Raw genomic sequence first — 20,083 nt, forward strand, 5'->3', positions numbered from 1 at the left:
GCTAAGCTGTGCCGTAAAGGCTGATCCACCGTGTGCTCCTTAAGCTCAGCAGCTGTGTGAACATATTCTTTTTGTATCCATGGGGCTTAAAAGTCCCAGAATATACTGTGTCCTCCACTAAGATGGAATTAAATGGAAATGTGAATTCCAATACTGTTGTTTTCTTATTATTCCACTGAATTATATGTCTTGCTATCATCATGGACAGCTCTGCTCTATTTTAAGCTAACATTTACATTTGTTGGTTTTCATAAAACTAGCACCACAAATATAACAGACATAACAGAAAATGAATTAAATATGTTTCCTTCCAAAACACTCAGTAGGCTGTAGGCAGTCAACATAAATCCAAGAAATAGGAAGAAAGATAAAAACTGTACTAGGGAACAGCAACACTAGGAAACAAAACACTTTCTTCTGGAATGTTCTCTCAGTCTATACAGATAGAAGTTAAGATGATAAAATGATAAACGGAGGTCACTGTGACCTCCTTGGTGAGTCTTACGATGCAACTTTGGGTCAACACACAATTATGACCAGCATTTGGCCACTTCCCAGGATTAAGGCCATTGTAAAGTCGTCAGAGGGATCTTTCTCATCATGAAGGGTGAAAACCAGAGTTTGGCATCACATGGGAAAGGGCAGTCTGTGGGCTGGGGAGAGGAACCAGAGCTTTACATTTACATATCATCTATGATATGGAATTTTATTATTATTACCTAGAGAAGTTGTCATTGATCCTCTCACTCTCCCTGTTAATGAGCTTAGGCTGCCTTATGTCTTCTGGGGAGTGAAGTATCTATAAACACATTCACACGAAAGTTCTGGGAACTCAGTACTGATGTTACTTCCCAGAATATTTGCATTAAAAAAATTTCTATCTTTGACATGAAACTACTACTCTGAATTTATCCAAAGGAATTCATGAGATAAATGCTCTAATGTCTGATGCAAGATACTCACCAAAGCATTATAAAAATAGCATCCAGTGGGAAACAATCTCATGTCCAATAAAAGGGGACTGACTCAGTTAGTGGATTAATAGGCACCACATGATGCCATAGAATGGTCTTTATCGACACAACATGTGTCTGTGCTATATGGTGAAGAAACAGACCAAAACTATATGTAAACTAGCTAGACTGTATGGAATGATCACATTTAGTAGGAAAAAAAAAATGTGCCTATATAAGCAAAGAACAAAGTCTGGAAAGAGATACTTGAACATGCTAAGAGTGCTTCTCGGTGGATGGGGAGATCAGTGATTTTTACTTTCTTCTGTAAATCTCACAGTGTATGTCAGCTTGCTGGCTCTGGGTTTTTACCTAGGTAAACATCTCACTCCACAGCTTCCTGGCTGTGTGTAATTGGATGGTCTAACGAATGTCTCGGGGTCAGTATCTTCATCTGAAATCCAGGGATAAATCTAGTACCAACCTAGGAGGGTTCTTGTGAGAAATTAATCAGATAATACAGAAAAAGCTCTCAGAATAGTGCCTTACATGCTGTAAGAACTAAATCCATGTTACCTATACTATCTGTATTTTTTTTAAAATTTTTATTTCTATAGGTTTTTGGGGAACAGGTGGTGTTTGGTTACATTAGTAAGTTCTTTAGGGGTGATCTGTCAGATTTTGGTGCACCCGTCACCCAAGCAGTATACACTGCACCCAATTTGTAGACTTTTATCCTTCATCCCCCTCCCACCCTTTAACCCAAGTCCCCAAAGTCCATTGAGTAATTCTTATGCCTTTGCATCCTCATAGCTTAGCTCTCACATATGAACGAGAACATACGATATTTGGTTTTCCATTCCTAAGTTACTTCACTTAGAATAATAGTCTCCAATCCCATCCAGGTTGCTACGAATGCTATTAATTCATTCCTTTTTATGGCTGAGTAATAGTCAATGGTATGTACGTATACATCTTTATTTTCTACAATGAGCATGTATTACTTTTAGAATTAGAAAATCAATAAAGCCATTTTCTCTTTGGAGAAAATAAAAGGGTTCTATAGAAAGAGGATAAAAGGAACAATGATTTCTGGTAGAATCTGAGTTATCAATGAAAAAGCTTCCTTGGAGTTTTCCTGATGTCCTCTGTCTCCCCAGTATGAACTATTTCCTGATGCCCTCCATGCCCTATCTCACCCCCTGCCACCCCGTCCCCCTGATATGAGCTTCTGACTGTTTTGTCTCAGAATGAGGCTGGTTTGCTAGAGATCTTTCAATGCCAACAGAATCAGAAAAATACTCAGTAAATGGAAATTGATTTTTTAAAAAAGAGCATATTTCATTCCTTAGCTAATCTTGAAAACTATTTTATATGCTTCTTCCCTTGTGGAACTTTTGCAATTTCAAGCACACTTGGGCTTTAAATCATGGCCATTTTCCTATTACTATTAATGGCAAGCATATATAAGGAAAAACTGAATTTCATGAATTCTTCATGACAGTTCACGGAAGCTTGAGTTAAATGTGGCGTCTCAGGGGAGTCACTGTGCCTGGCACCTCTTCTCTGCCTGCTGTCCTCAGGGCACCTGCCCAGCCCCCACAGAGCCCTTGCTCCTTCTCATATCTGTGACCCTGCAGCCTTCCTGCACCACCAAATGGTCTTCCTTCACTCTTTCCTTCCTGATGCTTCTTTTTTCTCTATTCCTGTTTCTGTGATTCCCCTCTCTCTCTTTTTCACTTTTTACTCCCATCGCATTTCCTTACTTTAGGAAAAAACAAGAACCAAACCAAACCACCTTTTCTAAGTATAACAGTATAACTCACCATTCTTTTTTTTTTTTTGAGACAGAGTCTTGCTTTGTCACCCAGGCTAGAGTGCAGTGGCACGATCTCGGTTCACTGCAGCCTCCGCCTCCCAGGTTCCAGTGATTCTCCTGCCAAAGCCTCCTGAGTAGCTAGGATTATAGGTATGGGCCACCACGCCCAGCTAATCTTTTGTATTTTTAGTAGAGACGGGGTTCCACCGTGTTGGTCAGGCTGGTCTTGAACTCCTGACCTCAGGCAATCCACCTGCCTCGGCTTCCCAAAGTGTTGGGATTACAGGCATGAGCCACCGCGCCCGGCCTAACCCACCATTCTTTTCTGGTGGTCACTGCCAGCCTTGAGGAGGGTGCCATGCTGTGTCCTTGGCAGAGTGGTGGCCTGCTGAGTCACTGGGGGTGTGTGTGCAGAGAGGGGAGTGGAGGTGGGTGGGGAGTGAGCTAAGGAGGTCTGGGGCTCCCCATAAGGGGGGCTCCAGCAAGACCAAGCTCTTTGCCTGTCTAGTACAGTTGTACTGGGTCCCCAGGCGGCCTCAGGGCACAGACAATGTGACCATCCTGCCTCCCCAGGACTTGCGCAGCTCACTCTAGACCAGAGGGGCCAGGTTTTGTCTCCTCCACCTGGCAGCTTCTGCTGCTCTTCCTCACAAGGTTCCCTTTGGTCTTGTAGCCTCCAGATAAGGGTGCTTTATGTGCCTGTGTCTCTCTCATTTGAGAGCAAACTTCTGAGCTGTTGCACTTCTCTCTTTAATTCTTAAACCACAAATGCAAACATTCTATGGCTTAGGAATTCCAGATTCAGCGCACCATGCATGACATACTCTGTTCCATAGGTTTTAAGCACTTTGAGTGATAAAATTGTATGTTTACCTTTATCACTCCTCAGCATCACAGAGTAACCAGCATAACCAGCATGGAACATTCAGTTCTTTCCCCTCCCTTCACAGTCATCCTTGCTGGGCAGACTCTCACCATCCCTTGAGCCACCTCCTACACCAAGTATCCTGGGAGCTCCCAAAGAGATGGGGAGGGTGAGTGGGGCAAGGAAGCCCAGAGCCGGGAAATGCAGCACCCCTCCCCTCTTTGGAATCAGTTTAAATTGCCATCCAGGTGGGCCCAGGCAGCTGAAATCCAGGTGGTGTCTCCAGCACAGGGTCCCAGGTGGGCAGAGCAGCTGGCACAGCTCTCATGAGGGCAAGAGCGCCCAGCCAGAGCCTGGCCCAGGTGAGATAAAGCACATGAGAGCAGAGTCCAGCCTCCTTGCTGTGGAGTGAGGCGAGGGCAGGAAGACTGTGTGGACGGCTGTTTTGTAAATCCCTGTGTTCATGGGGAAGGCATTGCACCCGCACTGCCAGGATTGGGTGTCTTTTGGCTCAGGCGCTGGGCAGGGCTGGGCCTGAAGGTGCCTGGTATTTAGAGCAGGTGGGCCTGACACCTGGCTTGGGCTGCCCCTACTTGCTTCTGAGGGCAGGTGGCTATAGTGTTCACACAAGCCCCTGTTTATTTATTTTTATTTATTTTTTATTTTTTTGAGACAGGATTTTGCTCTGTTGCCCAGCTGGAGTGCAGTGACATGATCTCGGCTCACTACAACCTCTGCCTCTCAGGTTCAAGCGATTCCCGTGTCTCAGCCTCTCCAGTAGCGGGGATTACAGGTGTCCGCCACTGCGCCTGGCTAATTTTTGTATTTTTAGTACAGACGGGGTTTCACCATGTTGGCAAGGCTGGTCTTGAGCTCCCGGCCTCAAGTGATCTGCCTGCCTCGGCCTCTGAAAGTGCTAGGATTGTAGGAGTGAGCTACCGTGCCCGGCCCATTGCCCACTTTTTAATAAGGCTATTTATTTGTTGTTGTTGAATTTAGTTCCTTGTAGATTCTGGATATTAGTCCCGTCAGATGCAGAGTTTGCAGATATTTTCTCCCATTCTGCAGGTTATTCACTCTGTTGATTATTTATTTTGCTGTGCAGAAACTTTTTAGTTTAATTAGGTCCCATTTATATATTATTGTTTTTGTTGCTTGTGCTTATGAGGTCTTAGTCATGAATTCTTTGCCTAGGCCAAAGTCCAGAAAAGTTGGAAATAAAACCTAAAGACATACAAAATATAAGCCTCATTTAAAAATCAGATTTAACAGATATCAGCTTACTCTTTTAAATTGTTTTAAGGCTTTCTAAATGCTGACTCTCAATTTCTGTCCTTGTTTGATTGATTGATTGATTGATTGATTGATTGATTTTTGAGATGGAGTCTCACTCTGTCTCCCAGGCTGGAGGGCGGTGGCATGATCTCGGCTCACTGCAACCTCTGCTTCCTGGGTTCAAGCCATTTTCCTGCCTCAGCCTCCCCAGTAGCTGGGACTACAGGCACATGCCACCACACCTGGCTAATTTTTGTATTTTTACTACAGATGGGGTTTTGCCATGTTGGCCAGGCTGGTCTCCAACTTCTGACCTCAGGTGATCTGCCTGCCTCGGCCTCCCAAGGTGCTGGATTATGGGCATGAGCCACCTCCCCTGGCCCCTTGTTTTATTGTGAATGAGTAACAAACAGTTCCTGGACCAGCACTGGTCCATGGACCACACTTTGAGTAGTGCTGCTCTAGGCCATGTATTGTAACTTTTCTTTTCTTTCTGTTTTATTTTGAGATAGGACCTTGCTCTGTCGCCCAGGCTGGAATGTAGTGGCGTGATCATAGCTCACTGGAGCTTCGAACTCCAGAGCTCAAGTGATCCTCCTGCTTCAACCACCCCAGTAGCTAGGAGCACAGGCACGTGCCACCACACCCCACTATTGATTTTATTTTATTTTTGTAGAGATAGGGTCTCACTATGTTGTTCAGGCTGGTCTTGGACTCCTGGCTTCAAGTGATCCTCCTGCCTCGGCCTCCCAAAGTGCTGGCACTACAGCTGTGAGCCACTGGTGCCTGGCCTACTGAACCTTTTCTTCAGAGCTTCAGAGCTATTCAGATACATCCTGAAAAGGCCTCCTCTTCTCTGCTACCTCAAGTCTCTCCTCTGGCTCAGATTTGGTGATGTAGTTCAAGATACATTTGTTCATTATTTGAAACTTTAAACAGCCCAAGCCCTCTTGTGACCCAGATAGTCTCCCTCCTATCTGTCCACTTACGCCTGTTCTGTGCCCAGTGACCCAGGCTGGTGACCTTCCTGGACAGCAGCAACAGGCTGGGGGGAGGTATCCCAGGTGCTCAGGGGGTAGGAGGGCAAGGACAATGGGGCATTTGGTCCCCCAGCTGCCTCTGTTGGCCCATAGGCTGCAGTATCCCAGCTGTTTCATCCTAAGGAGGATCTTGGCTCCTGGCAGGCAACTCACTGTAAGGCTCCAGCTCTGTCTGGGATCCAGCATCTGTTCCCTCTCCTTCCCCTTCAGCCCAGGGTAGGAGAGGTCCTCAGATCTTCTTAGCTCTGAGATGCTTCCCCATTACCAGAAGGCTTCCCTCCTGCTGCCACTGCCTTTGTCAATGCTGTAGGTGCTTTATTAAGCTCTCCTCAATCACTTCCTTCTAGTAGGAAGGAAGTGTCTATCCCTGGGACTATGAGTGACACGCAGCCTTCTGACTTGCTTTTCTACTGGCTGAAATTTGCCAAAGCTCTCCAGTTGTCATCTTTTAAAGAATGAAGGGAAACGGCTGGTGCAGTGGCTCACTCCTGTAATCCCAGCACTTTGGGAGGCCGAGGCAGGCGGGTCACCTGAAGTCAGGAGTTCGAGACCAGCCTGGCCAACATGGTGAAACTCTGTCTCTACTAAAAATACAAAAATTAGCTAGGTGTGGTGGTGCGCACCTATAGTCTCAGCTACTCAGAAGGCTGAGACGGGGTAATCGCTTGAACCCGGGAGGCAGAGGTTGCAGTGAGCGGAGATCGTACCGCTGTACTCCAGCCTGGGCAACAGAGCAAGACTCCGTCTCAAAAAAAAAAAAAAAAAAAAGAATGAAGGAAAGTATTGAGGGGTGACCATACTGAAGTTTTTAAAAAGTGCATATGATGTATTGTGTGTGTATGTGTGTGTGTGTGTGTGTGTGTGTGTGTGTTTGTGTGTGTAGAGAGAGAGAGAGACAGAGAGATCTCAACTGAATTATGACTGGAGTACAGAATAATATTCTGTCCCTTTCTGTATCCCCACCACCTAGGAGAATGTCTGGTATGTAGAAATAATCCAGCAAATGTATACTTCGTGTATGAATGAATGAAGATACAGAGACTTCCTTACTTATGTCTGCCCTATTCTCATATGTCCCTCATATACATACCAAAGCCATACATATGCAACAGATAGTAAAAATATTTGTCTTTTATAACTTGGAACACACTGAAGACATAATGAAAAGGTTGGATCTTTGGTCATTTAGAGTATTAATTGTATTAATTTAAATATTTCAAAAATAGATGGTAGGGAGAAAGTATGTTGCTCTTTTGTGGTAGATAATCTTGTAAGTCTTCGAAAACTCTTCAACATCTGCTTCAAAAGGTAATCATTTAGAATTTAAAAATGATTATATATATATATGGCAGATATAACATAAATTTACTGTTAACATAATTCACATGCTAGAAATTGACCTAAGCACTTTACCATTATTAACTCATTTAATCCTCACTGCAAGCTTATGAGGTGGGTCCCCACGTTCTAGAAGGGGAAATGGGAAGCCCAGAGATGTTTCATAGCCTCACAGGGTTGTATGGGATAGACCCGGGATTTGCTCCCCCAAGTCTGGCACCAGAGCCAGCCTTAGGCGCTGTGTGATGGCAATGTACGTGACGCTCCCGTCCTGTCTGTGCTGGGCTTAGCTGGAATGCTCATGGCCCGTGTGGGTGTTTGGTCATAATTGCTGTCCCTCTCGCAGGATGCTGTCATGATGTTGTTCATCACTGCCCACTGTGTTCCCCTGCAAAGATCCATTTGGACAATCCCTTTAGTCCCGGAATAGTTGTGCTTCTTTAGGACATTAAAAAACGAAATAAAACAAAAATGTATGGACCCTGGGATTAAGTTTCCCTCTTTTTGCTGGCTACTAGAAGCATAGGGGCAAATGTATGGCTCCACCATGCAGGTGGACACAGCTTCATGGCCTGCATTATTTTGTGTGCAAACCTCATTACAGGTTCCAACATTTCATCCCTATCTGTAATTTTGCTTTTACTCCTTTTTTTTGTTTTTGATTTTTGGTGATTTCACATTGCCATTTTCTTTCCATCCTTATACACTGCCCTCAATCTCCTCCCCAGTCTTTTTTTCTTTTTCTTTCTTTTTTTTTTTTTTTTTTGAGACGGAGTCTCGCTCTGTTATCCAGGCTGGAGTGCAATGTGCAATCTTGGCTCACTGCAACCTCTGCCTCCCGGGCTCAAGCGATTCTCCTGATTCAGCCTCCTGAGTAGCCGGGATTACAGGCACCCACCATCACGCCCAGCTAATTTTTGTATTTTTGTAGAGATGGAGTTTCACCATGTTGGCCAGGCTGGTCTTGAACTCCTAACCTCAGGTGATCCGCCTGCCTCGGCCTCCCAAAGTGCTGGGATTACAGGCATGAACCACCGTGCCCAGGCTTCACTCTTTTTTTCTTAAACAAAATGGGATGTAGATGAATACAAGCAATATATTGATGAAACAGTGAAATATAATTGCTGTTTTCATTTCAGTGATACATTTTTTCTTACTTAGAATACGCTGTCCGGGCATATTTTACCTTTATGATTATTCTAAGCCTGAAAAATTTGTATATTCATACAGAAGTATTTCTTGTTTTACATTGTTAAATATTTCTGAGTCATGTTGAGAAGTATAGTGCAATTCTGCGGAAGACTCTGAAACTTTATGAGCTTACCAAGGCTTATTTCTTGGGTTTTTTCTAAGTGGATTGTTACAGAGAAGCTCAACAGCAAGCAGAATGACTGAACATCAAAGGCTGTCTGAAGACGGTGCCAGGTTATAATTTTCCTTTTACAACCCCTAATGGACAAAGAACCTGCTTTTACTCAGCTGTTGCCTTTTAAAATTGATTTGGTTGTTTTCCCCTTGAGCAAATATATCCTTTAATTATAAGACCTCATGAGCTATTGTACTACTTCATTCCCAGAGAATTTTTTCTTTTGCTCTTAAATGTTTCCAGTGACAGTGGGATAATAATATGTGTGTTGCTAGCTAAGAGTGGGATTCTAAATATACAGGGATTCATCCTAAGCATCTAGAACATGACATATAATGTCTTGAGGCATTCTTTTAAAACACCCCTCCCACCCACATTGTACTTCTTCCTAGTCATTTTTTCTCTTCTTGTTAAGATTTATTGCTTCTTTGGAGGACAGCTGGGGACTAAAGTGTGCTCTACAGTGAAATTCTTTGCTCAATGTATTATCTTGTGGCAGATAGACCTGCACAAATATACTGTACTTTGTACTATCTACCTGAAGACACTTACTTTGCCCCACAAACTGGTGTGCAGTCATGGCATGAAGAAGACATACACTTCACAGGCAGGAAAACAGGGCCAGCTTTCCAGGGAGATGGTCTGGCAGCTGTTGGCATGGTGTAATTTCAGGAGGTAAGAGTAGGTTTCCCATGAGCCTGGAATTCCTTTAGCTGAGGATAAAGCTTTTAAAAGGCTCATGTCTTTAAAGATGGCAACAACAGCCACTGGGGACTACTAGAGGAGGGAGGGAGGGGAAAGGGTTGGGAAACTACTGGGTACCATGCTCACTACCTGGATGATGGGATCTGTTGTACCCTAGACCTCAGCATCACGCAATATACCCATGTAACAAACCTACACATGCACTTCCTGGATCTAAAGTAAAAGTTGAAATTATAAAAAATAAAATAAAAGGCTAATGGCTTTAGGAGAGGTAAGACATTGACTTCAGAGTCACATGAGATCAGCTTTCCTTAGGAGAAAGGGCAGCCCTGGCAATGTGATTCTGATGGAACAAGGGTGTGTATTATGGGCTGAACCAGTGCTTCCCAAACCTTAGTGTGCATCTGGATCATTTATTAAAATGATGATTCTGATTCACAAGGTGTGGCTGTGCCGGTAGATCCTGCATTTCTAAGATGCCCCTTGATGAGGTCAAGGTTGCTGGTCTGTGGGCCACATTCTGAGCAGCCAGGGGCTAGAAGGGCTCAGAGGGAAGAGAGGAGCTGAGGCAAAGGCTGGGGCTAGTAGTAGGATGGGCAGCAGGGAAGAGGCGAGAGCTTTGGTGCAGAAAGATGAGATCCAGGAGGAGGAGGAGGCAAAGCCTCCCAAGTGACTTTGAGGGTGGGAATGAACATGGTATGTTAGGGACACACAGACTCAAAGATTGGGGTAAAACTTCTCACACCCAGCTAACTCTTTCCATTCCTTCTGTTTGATCAGTAAACAGAAATTGGCTTTCTTGGGTATGTTCACATGGGTGCTGCAAAATCAGTCTGTGCAGCAATCCCTCGCGGAACCACCCAGGGAGGAAAGGCTCCTTGAAGAAGGGACCTGCAGGGTGCGCAGGTTTTCAGCATCAAACTCCCTCGCATTGGCTCTATCTCAACCTGTAGCTGTTTGAGATACCAGGGAAGCTAATTGCTTAAGAGCACAGGCTTCGGAATCCTACAGATGTAGGTTTACATCCTTGCTTTGTTACCTACTCACTGGGTAACTGTAAACATGCCATGTGTCTTCTCCAAACTGCAGCCTCTGTATCTATAAATTAGAGATAATAATAGTACTGACATACTAGGGGTGTTGTAAAGGCCACAAAACATGTAAGCATTAGTACCTGGCACAAACTAAATCCTCAACAAGTGCTAGTTCTCCTCTTTCTTGTCCTTCTTACTATTAATTTAATAATTCTGCTTGACTAATCCTTCTGGCAGGTGCCACTGTTTTTGACTTTTACTTGCTACTGCAATCACCTGCCCACTTATCCTCTCTTGACCTGCATTTCCTCAAGCTGAAGAATCCCAGCAGATAGAGCTCCAGGTTTGGGACTAATCAGCAGCCCAGGGAGCCAAGCAGAGGAGGCCTAGGTTTCTAGTTCAGTGGGCAGCTTTGGCTTCTGGGGTTTCACATGCTTCTTGGAGAGTCAAATGCATGCACAAAGATTAGGGTATCCCTGATAAGTGTAACTACCATGGAGGGAGGCATTATCTTTGCTTGGAATATTTTAGGAAGTGTATTAGTCCGTTTTCATGCTGCTGATAAAGACATACCTGAGACCGGGTAATTTATAAAGAAAAAGAGGTTTAATGGACTCACAGTTCCACATGGCTAGGGAGACCTCACAATCATGGCAGAAGGCGAAAAGCATGTCTTACATGGCAGCAGAGAAGAGAGAATGAGAACCAAGCAAAAGGGGTTTTCCCTTATAAAACCATCAGGTCTTGTGAGACTTACTACCATGAGAACAGTACGGGAGAAACTCCCTCCATGATTCAATTATCTTCCACCAGGTCCCTGCCATACAAAGTGGAATTATGGGGGCTATAATTCAAGATGAGATCTGGGTGGTGACATAGCCAAACCATTTCAGGAAGGTTTCGCAAAGAAGGAGCTTTTCCATTTGTCTTTAGAAGATAAATCGGAGTTTATTGGGCCCTTTTCATAGGGTGACCAGTTATCCCAGTTTGCCTGAGATTGAGGGGTTTTGGAGATGCAGGATTTTTAGTGCTAAAACCAGGACAGTCCCAGGCAGACTGGAATGGTTGGTCATCTCTACTAGTCTGTCATGACCAGGGCTACCTGATCATGAGTCAAGGTCATGAGTACTGATCATCAGTACTTCCTGCTGATCTACCGAATTTGAGCTCTCTGAATTTCTACTGAATTAGAATTTCCAGAATTATAGCCTGGGAATCTGCATTTTAACATGCTTTCTGGTTGCTTCTAATGTACACTGAAGTTTCAGAGTGCTGCAGTGACATTTTCCCTGCATCAGGGATTCACTCTGTGTTCTCTCAGCCACGGTGATCCTCCATGGCCAGCGTGGGACACGTGAGTGGAGAAAAAGTGACGCAACATCTCTGCCGTCTCAACTTCTACCACCACTGATTTCCAACTTAGCCAGGACAGTGGGGCCAAACTGGTATGCAGTGGGGTCGCCTAAACATCATTGTCTGTACTCCTGGCTCACCAGGATTTCCAGGTCTCCTTTCAGGCTCAGGGTATTCTGAATGTCCTGTGTCTTTAACAGAAAACGGGACCATGGGGCCTGCTTTGGTTCCCCATGCACCACAGTTCCTTCCCTCTGCCTCAGGGATCTTCCGGACAATACAGCCTCCATCAGTTTGTGTCCTTGGGTGAGAAGAGCATGGAGCAGAGCCCACCTTCAGTACACATGGGGCATGGGTGAGATGCAAACATTATTTGAAGCCACTGAGGTTTTGGCATGCATGGTCACTGCAACCACAGCTAACTTACCATGATAGACACAAACTCCACTCTAACGGAGTGTGCCTCTAACTATCCTCAGTTCCTCAGTTGTAGGACAAAAGGCAGATGGACAGAACTTTCCAAATAGATTCCCTGGAATGGAGCAGAAAAAAAGCAAAGATTTCCTTTTAGAACTCCATGAACAGAAACTGAGATTCTGACCGAACTACAATAAAAAGATAGCCCCACGTGGCCATCCTTAGGCCTTTGTGCCTGTGCACCAGGAGTTTCAAGGAGCAACCAGTCCTGGGTTTGGTTTATGGAAAGGTCTTTCCAGCCTGAGTAGAATGCCAAGAAAAGAAGAAGCCAGAAATTTACAGGGTCATGGAGATACAAGGCAGAGCTGTGGGATCTGGACGGCCAGCAGGAGCAGGACCTGGCCGTCCAGATGGATATTTTAAAGCTCAGAAAGTTTTCCCAAATTTGGGATGGACTTAGTCCCTGGGCAATTGAATTGCAATTCAAGTGGAAGCTGTCTTCTTTCTTTACCAGTGAGGCGGTTAATATACCTATTTCTCTTAGCTAACAAGAGTGAGTTAAAGAATAATCTCAAGTACTGACTGCCAAAACCACAAGAAGGAAAGGGTTCCTCGTAGACTGCATGTGACTCCCCCTTGGGTACATGTGCCCACTGGCAATTGCATTTATGAGGCTCTCCCCGTTGTGCCATCTTCTCTCTACCCTGAACCAAAGGTGGCTCCTGAGGCTGGCCTGGAACCAGGACAAGGGGCTATCAACATTTCAAAAGATTCCCTGGGATTTTTGCCAAGTCATTTGACCAGAACATGCAGCAATATATATTTTGTGATTACTAGAGACTGCTGTTCCATTTAGTTTTGAGTCATTCTGTCTCCACAGGAAGAAGTTGTTAGAGAGTTGTAGAGCTATGCGTGTAGGCTTCTAGGAGTGAGCTGCTCATACGTCTTCGTTCCTAGCGTGTTGTGAGCTGTGCCTGTCTCTTGTTTTATTTCTGTTTTCCTCCTTTGTCTAAGATCCCCATTCCTGATCCCTTCTCCTTCATAAGCATCTGCTCTGACCTCTTTGCTACTTATCCTTAAACACGCTCCCTTGAGGTGCGCTCACTGCTGTGGGCTGAGCACCTACTGTGTGCTGTGCTCTGTGTCAAGAGTCCCGCAGGAATGGGCTCTTACTCCTCACGCCAACCTTGCGTGTTACATGTGCACCAATGTCTCTTTCAATGCAGAGCGTCCCCCTAGGCATGCTCCTGGCCTTTCTCTGCTTACTTTTTTCCAGATGGTGAGTGTGGAGTCTAGAGCTGGGCATGCACAGCTCTGCCTCATCCCTTGGGAGCAGCCCAGTGCTCTTCTCTGTTTCACCCTGAGCAGAGAAGAGCCACATGGGCTGCCCGGCCACAGGGTGTATCAGCAACTACAACCTGCATCCTCTAAGACCCGCTTCCCCAGAAATATGGTCTTTTGCCCTCATCTGCCCTGCTCCTCTTTCTTATTTGTTAATTGGTTCAGAACCAGATAGGAATGAGGGATGGTTTTTATTGGGCCCTTTCAAAAACTTCAACATTAAGTATTATTATTATTTCTTTATACAGACAAGTGTAGTAAGGCACAAGGAGATTGAGTGAATCTCAAAGCTTAATTTCTTAAGAGATGGCACAGTTTGGAAGCTAGCACCAGACATTCTGGCTCCAGATTCTGCACTCTAAACCATTACAATACACTGCTCATAAAATATGAAGTGCTTTTTTAATGTATGTATTTTTAGACTTTGTATAAATGTGCTATCACATCTAGTTTGACGTCTTCAATTTTCCTGTGCTTTATATTATGTGGGTTCACCCATATTGCTGGATATGCATCTATTTCTTTGCTTTTGATGACTATAGGGTGGTATTTGTATGGTCAATTAGTGAGACTATCTTTCACATTGATCATATTGTCCCATTTCAACATTAGATTATTTTATATAATATTGCCTTGGGGGAAATCATATACAGGTATAAATGAGGTGTGTACCGAAAGTTACATCAGATATTTCAAACTTAAATTGCATTTTTTCCAATAAAACTGTTACAAATTAGAATTCTCCCTTAAGCTATGCCCAAAAAACTCAACTAGTCCCATGTAGTTATAAAAGCTTTAATATTTCACATTTGCAAGATAGAGTGGTAGAAGCCAATACTGATTTTGGGGGAAAATCCTAAATCCTCTCTGTGTAGTATTTGGGTTACAGGGAGCACAGAAGGCTCCCAGGATTGGGAAAAGCTTAAGGAAGGAAGACAAAGGGATGAGAGATTAAGGGAAGGGGGTGGAGCTGGGTCCAAGGAAGGTGTGCAGGGGAAGACCTGTCATTGTGTGGACGCTGGGGATGAGGGACCTTGGGGTTTCCCTTACTCCAGCCCAGAGGCCCCTCTCCAGAATGCTCAGCCACTACCACCTACCCTCTTAAGACCCAGACTGCATTCCCCTAGAAGTAGCTGGATTGTTTTTAGTGGGATTGTCCTTGCTGGCATGGAAAATGCTTCCCCCACCCCCACCACTAGTCCCCTCCTCCAGTGGGCAGAGTAGGATATGTTGCCCCCAGGCTCGCTGGGTGTGCCCAGAGCCAAGACTGCTGGCTCCAGTTTCTCTGTTTAATCCACACCTTCTGAGGCAGATCTGTCTGGCTTACCTGTCCACCTCCCTGGCTCCTGTTGTACTCCATGTCCCTTCTGGGGTAGGCTGCCATCCCTGCCCTAGTTCCCAGCAGTGACATCCCAGAGCTGGATTTCAGGAAACTGAGGCTCAGGGACATTCCAATCAAGTCACCTGGCTCCCAGCCTATGCTGATGGGGCGGAAACCCAGTTCTGTTGTGCATCAGGCATGGAATCCACCCGCACTTCACTCCCCTTCCCAGCCACCTTCCCTCACCCCATTCCGTGGTGACCTTTCATAGCCCCCCTGCCCTGCGATGTCACTCTGACCCACACATTTGTTCTGCTATGAAAGATGCCTGCTGGGGTCCTTGGAAGAGCCAGAACATTTATGTGGGGGCATTTGGAACTCAAGGGAAGTTCTGACATCCTGATCCAAGAGTTCACCTGGGATGTGCCTTCTCATCACAGTGAAAGTGACTTTGAGCTGTCCTGTTTTACGCCAAGTAAGTGGAATCCTTAGGGTTCTGGCTGACTCTCAGCATCGCCCTCATCCAGGCAGGTTACCGGCCCTGCCCTGGCCCACAGCAGCATTGGCTCAGAGGATTCCTGCTGCAGGTGAGAAGCGAGCCAGAAGACTGAGTGCGTGTTTTGTATTCACAAGGCCACGTGCATTCTAGACTTGACTATTTAATCACTCTTGTGAGGAGTGTTTTAAAGGAGAAGTGCAGTGCTGCACAAAGCAGAGAATGCAGACAACTACCCAGAGGGACCGCTCAGCGGAGGCCTGAGCTTAAGTAGGAGTTATCAGGCTCCAGGGGGCTGGGGTCAGGCTTCAGTTTGGGTCACGCTGAGCTGGGGTGGAAGTGCCGTGCCTCCAGGAAATCCGGCTCTGAAGTCTCTGTGAGAAGTCTGGGCTGGAAATTTAAATCAATCGTCGGTGGTATAAGATGGAAGTAGAGTGTGGAGGGAGGCAAGCCTGGACTGGGACCTGAACTCTGAGAGAACTGCAAGAGCAGAGGGGAGTGAGTCCCCGCACAGCAGTTGAAGTGTGGATGTGTGGGGAGAAGAGAGGTGGGGTAGGGCTGGAAGAGGATCTGGATGGAAGGAGAGGCGTTTTCTTTGGGATGGGAGAGACACTTGCAAGCTGATGATGGGTGGGTCCAACAGAAGGCAGGGAAGTGCAATCTAGCAAGCAGAGGGAGGGATTGGCTTTTGACAGGAGGAGGTTCCTCCCTCCCTCCTTCTGGAGAGAAGAAGGAGCGGATGTGCAGATGCAAATGTATTCGTAGACTTGGGAAAGTAAAGGAAGCGGTTCCTTTTTTGTGGTTTTGATTTTGCTAGTGAAAGAAAAACAGTACTCAATGAGGGTGGAGGGAGCATAGGTGGGAAGTGGTGGGAGTTTGAGGAGCATGGAGAATCAGGCCCAGAAAATGAGCAGAAGTGAAGAAGGCTGCATAGTCAGGACCACAGCAGCAGAAGGCACAGAGCCCACCTGTGAGGACACAGCTGTGTTCGAACACTACCTGCCGTGGCTAGTCCTGACCACACGTCAGCCCTGAGCCTGGACAGGGGACTCAGGACACCCCTGCTGGGATCAGCCATTGTCCCTGGAAGTGAGATGGTGCTGCCATCACAGCCACTTCCAGAAAGAATTCTTCAGTGTCTCTGCCTTTTTGCATCACTTGCTCTAGATGCAGACTCTTGGAAGGAATCATGCAATTCACTGAGCCCAGCGGGTGCATCCCTGCTGCCTTACCTGCCAGGGGAGCTGAAAAAGCTGGTATTTTCAGCTTCTAAAGTTGGAGTTGCATTCTGTTCCCAGCAAGATTCATACGGTGGAAAGGGGATTCAGATCCTTGGAAGTCAAGGAAACAAAAGACAGATACCTGCACCATGGCTTCCTCTCTGGCCTTACTCTGGACAGCTGCCCAGTGTCCCTTGTGCTACACCCAAGCACCCAGAGAGTGGCCTCCTAATCCTGGAACTGTGACCTTCTTAGAGTGCAGGTTGGTGCCTCTGCAGATGCACAGCCTCTTACCTTATTTGGGCTTGTCATTGTGACAACCAATAAAATATCCCCTTCAATTTTCCAGACACCCCAGACCACGGTACGACAACTACCAAATTAAGGGATATAGTGTTCAGAAAGCAAAGGCAGCTTTTGGGCAAAGGGCAAGTTTTAAGAAGAATATTTAATCTGTAGCCCAGCTGATTTGAAATGACACTCCGACATAAAGCTCACTCCCAAAATAAATATTCTGACTAATAAAATTAAACATACTGAGCCAATTTAAGTGAGCTTCGTTATGCCCTTTAGAAATGTAGTCAAAAACGTTTCTGAAGTGTCCTGACATGAGTAAGGGCATTGGAAAAACAGCAAAGGATAATTTCAGCCTTAAGTAAAACTCTGAGTTAGCCAAGGATGCTGAATCTTAAGAAAGATGTAACAGAAGGAGAAGGGAATAGATATGACAATTAAAAGTTGGAAAGAACCATTATGAGTGCAGACCAGAAATGTTAACACTCTTTAGATAGAAGCATATTGGCCAAGAGGAGGAAACTGGAGTGTTATGGAGGGTATGAACTTACTTATGAAAAACAACAATAACATCATTTAGAATCTAATTTAGGACAAATTATCATCACTGAGAAATATTTTGTTGAAGCCTATTCTGGTGTAAGCCACTTATAAAAATCCATATATTTTTAGGAGTTGTTTGGTCTAAAAAATATAAATAGATTGAAGGAGGATTTAGGTAACTTGGTTGCTGGTTATTAAAGTTGAGTTAGTTAAATCTCTTTGTTTTGGAAGAACATGACTATAGAATTTTCTTTGTTCTGTAAAGTTCGTCAGACACATTCTTAGGCTACTCATCAGTTCAGCAAAAAAGTGTGAATGAGAAAAAGTGAGTTTTACAGGGAGAACCAGGTCCGAGACAAAACAAATCCATGACAGTTGAAAGTCATTACAGAGAGTAGGATAAACGACAAGACTCAGTTATGAAATTGAGCTCAGAGCTGTTGGGTTCCGGCAGACCTCAGTTTATTTATAGTCACCACCAAATCTATTTGTAAGTTGTTAGTTGTGGATAAAATGCTCTTGAGTAACAGTTTGGTCTCAAGTTCTGCAAGTCTATTTAGGGAGTAATGATTAAAGACCACTAGGACTGAAAATTATGCCATATGTCATCAATCCTTCTCTTTCCTCCCCTAGAGTTCAAAGTTTATACGTATAAAATCTATGTGTCATGCCTAACAACTTCCCCTTTGTCTTACCATTTTTTTTTTTCCTGAAATCTTTCATTAAGATTGTCATTTTCCAAGTTGTTGTGGTGACCCAAATCTTTAGACTGAGTTTTGGTGTAGGGATTTTATTTCTCAGGCTCCTGTGGTTCTTTTATATTAGAAAGTGAGACACTCTCTCTTCTCCTTTCCAGTTTCCACCCTAATCTTTGCCTCCTGCTGACTTGAATCTCGATTTTTTTAAAAGAACCTAGGGAGACAGGGTGTGGGCATTTAAATTCTGGGCAGGCTGCCATGTGGGATGGAGAGTAGACATCTGTGCTACTCCACAGGGGAAAGAGGGCTGATGAGAGAAAGTTTTTGACAAACATGGAGGAAACCTGTAATGGCCAGAACTTGTCAGCAATGCAGTGAGTTCCCCTCAGAATGAGATGCTAGTGTGGGAGGGGACTTAGGGACCTCTTGAGGCCCTTCCTCTAAGTTTCTGGAGTGATCCACCTTCCCTCCTCTGGGTGAGCAGGTACTTCTGGGAACCAGTAAGAGGAGCTGAGAGTCAGTACTCCTTAGACCTAAACCAAGCACACTTTTTTTTTTTTTTTGAGACAGAGTCTCACTCTGTCGCCCAGGCTGGAGTGCAGTGGTGCGACCTTGGTTCACTGCAAGCTCCACCTCCCAGGTTCACGCCATTCTCCTGCCTCAGCCTCCCGAGTAGCTGGGGCTACAGGTGCCTGCCACCACGCCTGGCTAATTTTTTTTTGTATTTTTTTTAGTAGAGACGGGGTTTCACTGTGTTAGCCAGGAGAGTCTCGATCTCCTGACCTTGTGATCCACCCGCCTTGGCCTCCCAGAGCCAAGCATACTCTTTCTGATAGTGCCAGGGCCTGAGTTTTTCAGCACAGGGTGATGATAAACCCAAAAGAAAGAAGTGTTCTTGCTGAACTATTGGCAGATGGACTCTTTGGGCCAGGATTAAAAGGATCCCTTTTCAGACTGGTTGGGTTGTATTTTCATCCCTGGCCTTGGTTGTTCTGTGAGGATTGTACTTCATTTTGTAAAAAAATGTCAAACCAGGTTAATAAACTGCAGTTGAATTTTAATCGCCATCGTTTCTTCTCAATTAAAAAAACTCTATAAAATTGGCTCAGTTGATCAGTTTTTCAAATGGACACCAACCACAAAGTAAATGTAATTGCTTGGTTCTATATTTAGTGACTTATTTTTCATAATTTGTATTTGTATTTTGTACCTGGGTAGTAGGGGCATTTATAATTTAGTTAATAAAAATAAATGTTTCAAAGTGTCTCCCCCAGGTTACTTATTAATTACAAATGTAAAAAAGGTAACTTACGATGGGGAAATATGATGGACATCTTTTGAAGCAAGTGATGAAACTTAGCATTATCAATAATAGGACAGCTTGGCTTCACGTGCTTCTTGGTGACATCATGAGAAGGAAGTGCCACCCACTTAGTGATCTGGCCAAGAATGCCCCACCTGACAGCACTTTGGGAGGCTGAGGCGGGCGGATCACTTGAGGTCAGGAGTTCGAGACCAGCCTGACCAACGTGGAGAAAACCCATCTCTACTAAAAATACAAAAATTAGCTGGGCATGGTGGTGCACACCTGTAATCCCAGCTACTAGGGAGGCTGAGGCACAAGGATCACTTGAAACCAGGAGGTGGAAGTTGCAGTGAGCCGAGATCGTGCCATGGCACTCCAGCCTGGGCGACAGAGTGAAACTCTGACTCAAAACAAACAAACAAGAATGCTCCATCTGAGTCAAATTATGATAAAATAAGCAGACAAATTCAGACTGTGGGACGTTCTGTGATTCTGTGACCAATTCTATGATGGAACATTAAGACTTAGAACAGACTGTGGGACATTTTGGACTGTTCAAAATGTCAGTGTCAGGAAGGACAAAACATGTTGGGGGACTGCTGTGGATTAAAGGGGACAAAAGAGACCTGACGACTCACTGCCGTATGTAATCCTTGATTAAATCCCGAGATGGGAAAATAATACAATGGGGATTATTGA

General features: G+C 44.9%; 1 protein-coding gene across 13 annotated transcripts in view, besides 1 other annotated feature; it reads left to right on the forward strand.

Annotated features, from left to right (window-relative positions):
• The window catches only part of LAMA3 (laminin subunit alpha 3), a 265,614-nt gene that overhangs the window by 32,878 nt on the left and 212,653 nt on the right, over positions 1-20,083 (forward strand). The gene's annotated exons all lie outside the window — the stretch shown is intronic.
• Positions 3,627-4,597: an enhancer, noted in NCBI's record as "H3K27ac-H3K4me1 hESC enhancer chr18:21305921-21306891 (GRCh37/hg19 assembly coordinates)". NCBI's record gives its function as "activates a minimal SCP1, AML or CMV promoter by ChIP-STARR-seq in naive H9 embryonic stem cells {active_cell/tissue: H9 hESC(naive)}" and the evidence as "EXISTENCE:reporter gene assay evidence [ECO:0000049][PMID:30033119]".

Source organism: Homo sapiens, chromosome 18 (genome assembly GCF_000001405.40).
Source record: "Homo sapiens chromosome 18, GRCh38.p14 Primary Assembly".
Lineage (NCBI taxonomy): Eukaryota > Metazoa > Chordata > Mammalia > Primates > Hominidae > Homo > Homo sapiens.